Source organism: Homo sapiens, chromosome 13 (genome assembly GCF_000001405.40).
Source record: "Homo sapiens chromosome 13, GRCh38.p14 Primary Assembly".
NCBI classification, from domain to species: domain Eukaryota; kingdom Metazoa; phylum Chordata; class Mammalia; order Primates; family Hominidae; genus Homo; species Homo sapiens.
The window spans coordinates 18,236,127-18,248,258 of NC_000013.11; positions in this window are offsets into that span (position 1 = coordinate 18,236,127).

Here is a 12,132-nt window from a genome sequence, read left to right on the forward strand (position 1 = left end):
AGGGCATCGCCAACGAGGACGCCGCCCAGGGAATCGCTGAGGACGTCGCACAGGGCATCGCCAACGAGGATGCCGCCCAGGGCATCGCCAACGAGGAGGCCGCCCAGGGCATCGCCAACAGGGTCGCCGCCCAGGGCATCGCCAATGACGCCACCCAGGGCATCGCCGAGGACACCGCCCAGGGCTTCGCCAACGACGACGCCGTCCAGGGCATCGCTAACGAGGACGCCGTCCTGGGCATCGCCAACGACGACGCCGTCCAGGGCATCGCTAATGAAGATGGAGTCCACGGTATCGATAACGAGGACACCGCCCAGGGCATCGCCAACTGGGACTCCGTCCAGGGCCTCGCCGACGGGGACGCCGTCCAGGGCCTCGCTGACTGGGTCGCCGTCCAGGGCCTCGCTGACGGGGACGCCGTCAAGGGCATCGCTGATCGGGACGCCGTCAAGGGCATCGCTGACGGGGACGCCGCCCAGGGCATCCCTGACGGGGACGTCGTCCACGGCATCGCTGACGAGGACACCATCCAGGGCATCGCTGACGAGGACGCAGTCCAGCTCATCGCTGACGAGGACCCCGTCCATGGCATCACTAACGAGGACGCCGCCCAGGGCATCACTAACTAGGACGCCGCCCAGGGCATCGCTAACTAGGACGCTGCCCAGGGCATCGCTAACGAGGACGCCGCCCAGGGCATCGCTAACGAGGACACCGTCCATGGTATCCCTAAAGAGGTCACCGTCCAGGGCGTCACTAACGAGGACGCCGTCCAGGGCGTCGCTAACGATGACGCCGTCCAGGGCGTCGCTAACGAGGACGCCGTCCACGGCGTCGCTAACTGGGACGCCGCCCACGGCGTCGCTAACGAGGACGCCGCCCACGGCATCGCTAACGAGGTCGCCGCCCACGGCTTCGCTAACGAGGACGCCCTCCACGGCATCGCTAACGAGGATGCCGTCCACGGCATCGCTAACGAGAAAATCAAATGTTAACCAGCAGTGCCCTGCTTCAACACCATCATCGGAAGTCATAAGTTGAACTCTTTTTTGATGTTTAAAGCCTGCATAATATTCGCTGTGTTATTATTCAGCCTATTACTATTTCCTTCATGATGGAAATTTGGTTTATCCCAATTTTCTATTCTATCAAAACACCGCTACATAAAAAATCCCCATGCACATATTTCTCCTAATTGTGGAAATATTTTACCTAAAAGACTCTAGACATGGGATGAAATTCCCAGGTTACTGGAATTTTAAAATAGATAGGTACTTCCAAATTGACCTCTTACAAATTATATGAATTTGTAAGCTTCCAACTGTTATGGAGTTACCCCTTTTGAGAAATCTGTGCTAAAAGGACCCAAACAATGCTGATGACAATGATCAGGATAATAAGTACGCTGGGAAGAGAACAAAATGATTTAGATCTTAGACAAGTCATTCTAGGTGTCTCCACTGTTTCAGTTCTCGCGTTCGTTCATTCTTGTGCTTTTTCGTTTTACCAAATAAAATAGCCCCTTGATGTCATATGAATCCACGCTATGCTTAATGAGTATTGGTTAGTAAAATGCCTATAACTAGTAATCTTCATCTATGCAATTAAATATTAATTCATAAAACACTTCAAATGTAAACAATAATTAGTAAATGAAAAGTACATAATACCTCGATTAGAAAAAAATCACTCCATTAAAAGACATTATTTGTGTGATAAAAGAGTTTGCCATTTTTGTATTTTTCTACAAGGTTAAAGAAAACTGAGTCAACTTATACAAGTGAATTTTAAAAGACTTTAGGGTGGGCGTGGTGGCTGACACCTGTAATCCCAACACTTTGGGAGGCCGAGGAGGGCAGATCACCTGAGGTCAGGAGTTCGAAACCAGCCTGACCAACATGGTGAAATCTCATTTCTACTAAAAATACAAAAAAAATTAGCCCAGTGTGGTGGCACGTGCCTATAATCTCAGCTACTTGGGAGGCTGAGACAGGAGAATAGTTTGAACCTCGGAGGCGGAGGTTGCAGTGAACCAGGATTGCACCATTGCACTCCAGCTTGGGCAACAAGAGCGAAACTCCATCTCAAAAATAAATAAAAAATAAATAAGTAAATAAATAAAAGCCTTTAACCCAGAATGCTGAGTAAATTGTCCAAAAATGCTAACCTATGCATTTCAATACTATAGGAGTCGTGTAGGTAGAAATAACTAGATGAAATACTTCTGGTATTTCACCTTCCCAACTCACACGAGCCAGTGTTTTTCTGTGAATAACAAAAACAGCAGAATTTACTTGCCTATCCATAAGAGGTTACCACTTCTGTGTGTTCCCCTGAAACAAGTGGTGGCTGGGTGAGAAGGTGGACAGCACTAGGGTAGGAGATGGGGGCTCCAGTATCGTGGGTGAGCTTCCTAAACCTCTGCAACTTTCAGCCCCTAAATGGGATGAGCCATCAGAATTTTTAGCACAATGCCCAGAACAAAGTAAGGATTTGACAAATGATGCCTCTCTCCACATTGTTCTGTCATCAGCCACCGCATCCTGTACCTCCAAGCCCACTGGGCTCCGGCTGTTTCCATCACATGGAGAATGACTCAGAGCCTGGCATCCAGCCACCCTCCTGGCCTTTCTGCTTCTCACTCTGCCACTGGCTCCTCATGGACCAGCCTGGGTGTCCTCAGATATACCGCAAACTTCACTGTGGGAGTCACGTAGCCCTCACTGCTCCTTCACCAGGGAGCCACGGGGCTTTCCTCCTCAGGAGGACTCTGCAAGCAGCTGGATGAAGGGCCCTCCCATCTCTCATCCTTCCTTAACTTTTGTCACAGTTCTCCTTCCTTCCACTCAGTGCTGCACACACTGATTGATCCTCCATCTTCCCCAAAAGACAGGAACAGCATGAGCAGTAGAGAGTAGATTCCAATGATAGAAAAAATAGTGATTTCTCATTTCCATTGATCATCAATGAAGAAAATGTATCCTGAAGGTCATGTACCTCCTATGGGACTGCTGCATCCTCAGCCTCCTGAATTTCAGCCCAGCACCTTCCTCCCCAGCACAGCAACAGGTCAGCCCTTACCAGCATCCCTCTCTTATTGCCTTTGTGCACAGCCAGCACCAGGGCCGGGGGAGGCCTTGGGATTGTCCCTCCCCAACAATCTGTGAAACAATCCTTTATGTCACCAACAAAGCACAGCCTTATGCATTGGTGGTCAGTCCCTCCCAACACCTCTGTCACTGTAAAGCTGGCAGGCAACCCTCCAAGGTTGGCCTTCCCAAGCACTGCACCTCTAGGTGACAGAGCACGTCCTTACCTTGAGGCCTGGGCACCCAGTCTATCCTGTCCAGTGAGCGAGCTGTGGAGAAGGGGGGATTTCGGGTTAAGGGGAGACTAGCAGGGCTCCTGCTTTTATGTTGCCCTGTTGGGAATGCTATTAAAGAAACACAAAGTGCTAAGCAGTGAGGATAGAACATGTTTTCATTATTTAAACCAATACATTCCACAGATGGAATAATAAGAAATGCTACAACCAAGCTAACCGAATCCAACAGCATAACAAAAAGATAATCCACCATGATTCAAGTGGGTTTCATACTAGGGATGCAGGGATGGTTTAACATAGGCAAGTCAATACATGTGATACATCACATAAATAAAACTAAAAACAAAAATCACATGATAATCTGAATAGATGCAGAAAAAGCCTTTGACAAAATCCAGCATTTCTTTATGATTAAAACCGTTCATCAAAATTGGCATAGAATGGACATACCTTAAGGTAATAAAAGCTATCTATGACAAACCCACAACCAACATTTTCCTGAATGGGGGAGAGTTGAAAGCATTCCCCCTGAGGACGGGAACAAGACAAAGATGCCCACGTTCACCACTTCTTAACACAGTGCTGTTCACTACAGCATTGGTTATAAGAGCAAGACTGGAAACAGAATGAATGGATACCCATAGCGGGGTGCTTAAGTAATTTTGGGAATAGTCATAGGGTGCAGTACTTTATAGCTCTGAAACAATACAATGGATTTACATTTGAAATGTGGAATGATAACTAAGGTGCATTGCCCAGTGATATATGCAGAGGTGCAGAGGACTTTGTGTAAACACGATCACACATCAGCATGCATTCCAGGTGCATGTTTCTATTTGCACATAGATTGCAGGGATGATAGGCAAACAAAAATGTTGACTTGGTGTTTGGAAGTTCAGAGTGGAAGGGAAACTTCCTTGCTAACCTTTTATGATATTTAGAGTTTCTAAATGTGAATACGTAATACATTTAGAAATCTTAGTTAATAAGAAAAGCCTCTGTTCCTGGCCTCTTGCTGGCACATGTCAGGTGGAAATGGGGCTGTAATGCTAATGTGTGCAAACTGAGAAAAATCCAAGAATGGGAGTCTGCTTTTTTCATCATACAAATAATTGTGAATAGAAACAGTATGATAATTGCTCATTGATATACCATGCATATTCTATTAGATAATAATAAATTTCTGAAATTTGAACTATACTTACACATGGAAATTGAAATATATGGATGAAACATTGTGGCTTATATAGGCAATTGTTTTATTGGCGTTTTACAAACTGATCATCATTTCTCATGGCACGGGTCCATGTGATATTAAGTAGCTTGTTATGTTTGGGAAAGGCAGTGATGACCACAAGAATGACTTCAACTACTAAAGTACAATGGAGATTTCAACAATGTTTTGTTTAAATATTTCATTGTGCTCCCAGGCTTTTTCTCACCCTAATAGCTCTCATCCATATAATGTTGGTCCCATTAATACAGATACCTCCGAATGCACCACTCTTCCATTATATCCAGTCAATTGCTGGTTACCTTGGGCCTACAACTGTGGGAGGGCAGGGGCTGCTGGCCACCTGCTCATCTACAGTAAGAGTCAATGAGCAGTTAAGTGGATACTGATAACCATTTATCCTGCTGGAGTGAGAAATAAATGGTTTCTTTCAACAGCGTAGTAAAATGCATCTTTTCCAAACTATTTATATGACTCAAGGCCCATCTCAATTTCAGATGTGGTTAGCCTCAATTCCTGATTCTCACCAAGGTGTGTAATGTCATCCACAGCCCAGTGCAGAGGAACACAGGTGCTGCCGTTAGACTGCCAGGGTCCGATCCCTCCTCCTCACTCACCCCGGGAGATCCCTTTAAGCCAGGAGTCAACAGTGAGGATGGAAACATGAGTGCTTTTTAAAGTCCTGAAAGTTCAGAGGCCGACTGTCAGTTTCTCCTCCACCCCTGAGCACACACCAGGAGAACTCTGTCTCCGGGTTGAAGGAAGTGCCTGTGAGAGAGTTGTGTCCCTCAGATTCTGTTCACCACAGGTGACACTCGATGCAACCCCAAACCTCTTCTGCACAATCCCAAGGGGTGCTGACTAATCCAACCCAAAGGCTGTGATGTTTGGCAGAGGCAGAAAAGAAAAGGCCAGGTGTTCTGGGAAAGACCACCTTCAAATAACACAGCACCCTCATAGCCCAGAGAGACAGTTCTAACTATTATGCCAATAAACCTGGAAAAGACCAAATACAGTATGACACATATTTCCTGTTTCATTTTGATTTCATGCCCCCTCCCTTAACCTCCCAAGCAGCATGGATACCCCGAAGGCCCCTGGGAACTCTCTCCCATTGGATCTTACGTGGAAAGTAGTTACCTACCTACAAATCCCCATCATCGGATATGCTCTCCACAATCAAATCTTCAGAAACACAAACACCAGGATAAGTCATTAGAGAGAGTCCCACCCACTCCCACCCCAGCTGAAGCCATGGTGCTTCGCACAGGATCCCCTGGTGTTTCACCATCTTGGCCAGGCTGGTCTCGGGCTCCTGACCTCATGAACCACCTGCCTCAGCCTCCTAAAGCGTTGGGATTACAGGCCTAAGGCACCATGCTTGGCCATATTTATTTATTTAATTATTTAGAGACAAAGTCTTGCTCTGTCACCAAGGCTGGAGTGCAGTGGCGCCATCTCAGCTCACTGCAGCTTCCACCTCCGAGATTTAAGCGATTCTCATGCCTCAGCCTCCTGAGTAACTAGGACTACAGATACTCACCACCACGCAGGGATTTTTTTTTTCTATTTTTTTGTAGAGACACGGTTTCACCATGTTGGCCAGGCTGGTCTCAAACTCCTGACCTTAGGTGATCGGACAGCCTCGTTCTCTCTAAGTACTGGAATTACAGGCATGAGCCCCTTGCCCGGCCTCTCACTACATTTAAGTGACGCCATGGCTCATGCCTGTAATCCTAGCACTTTGGGAGGCCAAGGCAGGTGGATCACCTGAGGTCAGGAGTTCGACACAAGCCTGGCCAACATGGGGAAAAACCGTCTCTAGTAAAAATACAAAAATTAGTCAGGCGTGGTGGTACAAGCCTGTAGGCCCAGCTACTTGGAAGACTGAGGCAGGAGAATCACTTTAACCGGGAGGCAGAGGTTGCAGTGAGCCAATATCATGCCACTGCACTCCAGCTTGTGTGACAGAGTGAGACACTGTCTCAAAAAAAAAAGAAAAAAAAAAGAGAAAAAAATATGATGCCGGGGCATCTCAGCCTAAATACCTGCGTGAGCACAGTCATGTCCAGGCCAGGGCTGCTGGTCGAGGTCCAGCCCCATCTCTTCCAGCAGAAAGGGAGTAAGCTTGTGGGGTGGCTGGGGGACAAGATCCCAGGAACTTGGCCTCTGCTCATGGATCAGCTCTGAGACCCCAAGTGAGCTGGGGGTGCTCTGTGCGCATGGGTTTCCCCAGCTGTCAAGTAAAGGGATTGGATGAGGAAGTGTTGTCAAGGTGGAATGATCTCAGATTTGGGCAGCAGTGAATGATCCCACTCCCTGGGCCATGCCAGTGGCCTGGCCTCGGCTGAACACAGCCCCAACACTCTGGAATGGGGATGAGGGGGCAGTCAGCTCTTGCTCCTAGTAAGAGAGATGCAACAGGGCTCTGTGGCTGAGCTGGGTGCCTTGCCTCACACCGGTAATCCCAACCTTTGAGAGACCGAGGCAGGAGGATTGCTCCAGGCTGGGAATTTTGAGAATAGCCTGGACAACATAGCCAGACCCCATGTCTACAAACTAATAATAAAACACACAGCTATAGTCCAAGCTACTTGGCAGGCTGAGGCAGGAGGGTCCCTTGAGTCCAGGAATTGGAGGCTGCATTGAGCTATAATCACACCACTGCACTCCAGCTTGGGTGACAAAGTGAGACCCTGTCTCTAAAAGAAAAAAAATTGGCCTGTGAGCATGGGTTTGATTTTCAAACAGGACCCGGAGGGTAGGGTAAACGTGTGGGTAAATCTAAATGAATGTTATTGGTATAAAATTACAGTAGTATAGAAAATGATATCTTGTGGGGTTTAAAATAAACATACTGAAATATGTATGGGTACAGTTATATATCTGGGATTTGCACTGAAATAATGTGGGGTAGAGGGAAGCAGGAAAGAGTATACATGAAATGAGCTTGGCCATAAGATTGTTGTTGAAATTGAATGGATACGTGGGGCTTCATTACACAATTCTCTTTACTCTTACATAGCTCTACACTCTCAACATAAATAAGAATAAAAACACAAAAAACACACAGGTACATCTATGCACACACACATATTTAAAATACACAAAAATATTAGCATATAAGTCACTGGGGGTAAATTTAGTTCCTGTTCCAAGGTTCTTGTACTGACTAGGAAGAGGATAGAAGTACTAACTCATAGGCTGGGCGCGGTGGCTCACGCCTGTAATCCCAACACTTTAGGACGCCGAGGTAGGCAGATCTCTTAAGGTCAGGAGTTCAAGACCAGCCTGGCCAACATGGTGAAACCCTGTGTCTACTAAAAAAGAATACAAAAATTGGCCGGGCATAATGGTGCACACCTGTGGTCCCAGCTACTCAGGTGACTGAGGCAGGAGAATTGCTTGAACCCAGGAAGTGGAGGTTGCAGTGAACCAAGATTGCTCCACTGCACTCCAGCCTGGGCAGCAGAGGAAGACTCTCTCTATCTCAACAACAACAACAAAAAGTACTAGCTCATGTTAGACTTTGATAAGTGAAGGATGCATGTTGTAAGCTCAAAATAATCCAGTCATCTTTTAAAATAACTCTAAGACTGCACAGTTATGAAACTAATAGAGAAGGAGGAAATTAAATAATAAAAATAATAAATCCAAAACAAGATGTGAGAGGAGATAAGAAGAAATAGAATAGGCATGGAAAACAAATTGGTGGTGGGTTTCAACCCAAATAAATCATTAGTTACATTTAAAAGGACAATAAAAATTAAAATAATTGAAAATAAAGTAAAACCCAACTAATGCCTTTTATATAAGGATACAGAGAGGTGGAAAATAATGAAAAATAAGTCATGCATGCACTAACCAAGAAAGCTGTATAACTTTTTTTTTTTTTTTTTGGAGATAGAGTCTCACTCTGTCTCCCAGGCTGGAGTGCAGTGATGTGATCTTGGCTTACAGCAATCCCTCCCTTCTAGGCTCAAGCGATTCTCCCACCTCAGCATCCCAAGTAGCTGGGACTACAAGTGTGCCAACTTAGAATTATATTAGCCACACCCAGCTAATTTTCGTATTTTTTGTAGAGGCAGGGTCTCGCCATGTTGCCCAGGTTGGTCTTGAACTCCTGGGCTTCAGTGATCCACCCACCTCGAACTCCAACAAAGTGCCAAGATTACAGCCATGAGCCACCATGCCCAGCATAACTATTTTTAATGAAGTAGACTTTAAGAAGAAAGTATTATTAGAGGTAAGAGACACATCACGGAAAAGAAGAATTTACTAGGAGCCAGGCGCAGTGGCTCATGCCTGTAATTCCAGCACTTTGTGAGGCCAAGGCGGTGGATCACCTGAGGTTGGGGGTTCAAGACCAGCCTGACCAACATGGAGAAGCCCTGTCTGTACTAAAAATACAAAAATTAGCCAAGCATGGTGGCACATGCCTGTAATCCCAGCTACTCAGGAGGCTGAGGGAGGAGAATTGCTTGGACCCAGGAAGTGGAGGTTGTGGTGAGCTGAGATTGTGCCATTGCATTCCAGCCTGGGCAACAAGAGCAAAACTCTGTCTCAAAAAAAAAAAAAAAAAGTTACTAGCTAGTTTCAGTAATTCTTAACATCCAGGAAACTGGATGTGAAAGCTTTTCAGAGAAACTAAACCAATAGATTATACATAGAGAGAGATTTATTTAGGAATTGGCTCACATGATTGTGGGGACTAGCAAGTTTAAAATCTGTAGGGCAAGCCAGCAGGCTATAAATTCAGGTAAGGGTTGATCTCGAAGTCTGGAACCTAACATCTGTAGAGCAGTCAGCAGGCCAGAAACTCAGGCAGGGTTTCTGTGTTACAGTCTTGAAGCAGAATTCCTGCTTCTCTGGGAAACCTGTTTTTGTTCTTAAGGCCTTCAACTGATTGGAGGTGGCCCACCCATATTATGGTGGGTAATCTGTTTTACTTAAAGTCAATTGACTGTCAGTGTTAACCACATCTATGAAATAACCTCCCAGCAAGATATTGACAAGTATTTGACCAAACAACGGGGCACCATAGCTTAGCCAAGTTGACACATAAATTAACCATCAGGAACGAGTAGAATATCCAAAAAACAACATACTAGGGGTATTATATCTTATATAGCAATTATAATTATATAAAACATATAATTATAGAATGAAGATATTAAGATAACCATTAGAACAAAAATATAAACTTTTCTTTCTTTTTTTTTTTTTTTTGAGACCAAGTCTTGCTCTGTCACCCAGGCTGGAGTGCAGTGGTGCAATCTTGGCTTACTGCAACATTTGCCTCCTGGGTTCAAGTGATTTTCCTGTCTCAGCCTCCCAAGTAGCTGGGATTACAGGCACCCACTACCATGCCCAGCTAATTTTTGTATTTTTAGTAGAGACGTGTTTTCACCATGTTGCCCAGGCTGGTCTCCAACTCCTGACCTCACGTGAGCCACCCCCCTCGGCCTCCCAAAGTGCTGGGATTACAGGTGTGAGCCACCACACCCAGCCAAAAATCACCTTTTCTACAAGGATCAAAACAGTTATTATGCTGGAGATGACAGACCTCACTGTCACCATGCTCCTTTTGTATGTCTACTAGGCACGGTGCTGGGTCCACACTCACACAAAGCTTAGGAGCTCGCACCCAGGGGCTCCAGCTGTAGCAGAATCCTAAGAATAAAACCTGGTGCTGAAAGAGTAGGAGATGAGGCCGGGCGCCATGACTCATTCCTGTAATGCTAGCACTTTGGGAGGCCAAGGTGGGCTAATCAAGAGATAGAGACCATCTGGCCAACATGGTGAAACCCCGTCTCTACTAAAAATACAAAAATTAGCTGGGCATGGTGGCTGGCACCTGTAGTCCCAGCTACTCAAGAGGCTGAGGCAGGAGAATCATTTGAACCGAGGAAGCAGAGGTTTCAGTGAGCTGAGATCGCGCCACTGCACTCCAGCCTGGTGACAGAGTGAGACACCGTCTCAAAAAAAAAAAGCAGGACACTGAACTCTGGGAGGGCCTCCTGGTGAGAGGTGAGCACAGAGGGGAGAGATGGAGGCAGGAGCATGGGCTTCTGGTGGCCCCAGCAGACCCCGTGGCAGTGTGGCCAGGGTCCTCTGCAGGGAGGAATCTTGGCCAGGATGACGATGTAGCAGGCCTCTTCCTGAGGCCTCCAGCCAGCCCGGCCAGGGTCCCAGCATCCAGTGACCCCTGTTTCACAGCAGCAGCTGGGGCCAGCCCCAGGCTCTCTTCCACTCTCAGCTTCTTAAAACTGGAAGTGGAGAGAGTTGTTTGATAAAACACTGGGGCAAACCACATCCTCTCTTCACCAAGGGAGAGTTCGAGGGGATGCCGGCAGAGGGAGCTTTAGAGTAGAGACCCCTACCCAACCAGTGACCATCACGCACACAGCAAGGCATGCTATGGAGACCCCCAGACAGTCACTCGGTGAGACCCAGCAGGTCCAGACTCTTCAGAGATCTGTGGCAGCAGGTCCCCACTCCCAAAAGCCACGTGCCCATGGGTGGTCTCTGGTGCCTGAGACCCCAGTCTCATTTGCATCTTTGCAACTTCGAGTTTAAGTGGGTGTCGCATCCCTGTATGTGCTCCTGAGCAGAGGAGGGGCACAGCCCGGGGTGGCAGCTGGCGTCAAACCCTCAAATCCCCTGAGAGCCACTGGGGAGACTAAGCAGTCCCCAGCCCCCACTTGTCCCTGAGCTGCCATTCTCAGCCCTGTGGGAGGAGACAGAAAGCCCTAAAGAGAAACCAAAGGACCAGGTCAGGAGGGGCTGGGGGGTGGTGTGAGCAATCAGGGCAGGGAAGGATGGACAGATGGGGGAATGGAGGGAAGAAGGAATGAATGAAAAGGTGAATGAATGAACAAAGAGAGAGAACGGCCACTCCTCCCTTGCTTTAGTTTACAAAGTACTGGGATCCTCCCAACAGCCTGCAAGACAGAATTTCTGGGAAGCAGACCAGGTGGCTGGCAGGGAGGGGAGGCTTGCCCTGGCTTTTGTGGGCCCAATGGGAGGCAGGGGGCAGGAAGGGGCATCCTGTATGTGTCCTCCCTGCAGCAGCAGCAGCACCTTCCTGGAAGAGGGTCAGGAAACACCCACTGTGGCCCCTCTCCACCACGCCCTCATCCAGGACACCAAGTATCAGTCACTCAGCTCACGAGACCCAGGCCCTGACTCAGGGAGAGAGGATGTGAGGGGTGGGGCACCGGGCTCCCCAGGACTGAGAGACCTGAGATGTGGCCCCGGGCTGGGTGTTGGGGCAGACTGGCTATGGCAGCATTGTGTGTACCCCAGCAGGCCAGTACCCACGCAGGGAGCCTCCAAACCCCTTCACCCTTGACCCTGGGAGAAGACCCCAGCCTTGGAGAATTGGCCTCACTGAAGGGGCCTGCACCGGCCAGCAGGGTCAGGCGGGGCCAGACAGGTTCCCACCTGGGATATGCAAATGGGCCTCCTGAATCCTGGAGCCAGGTATGGACTCACACACCACCATTGTCCCCAAGTCCCCATCTGCCCCACGGGCACACCCTGCCACCTGTTCTGTGCAAGGGCCCTGAGG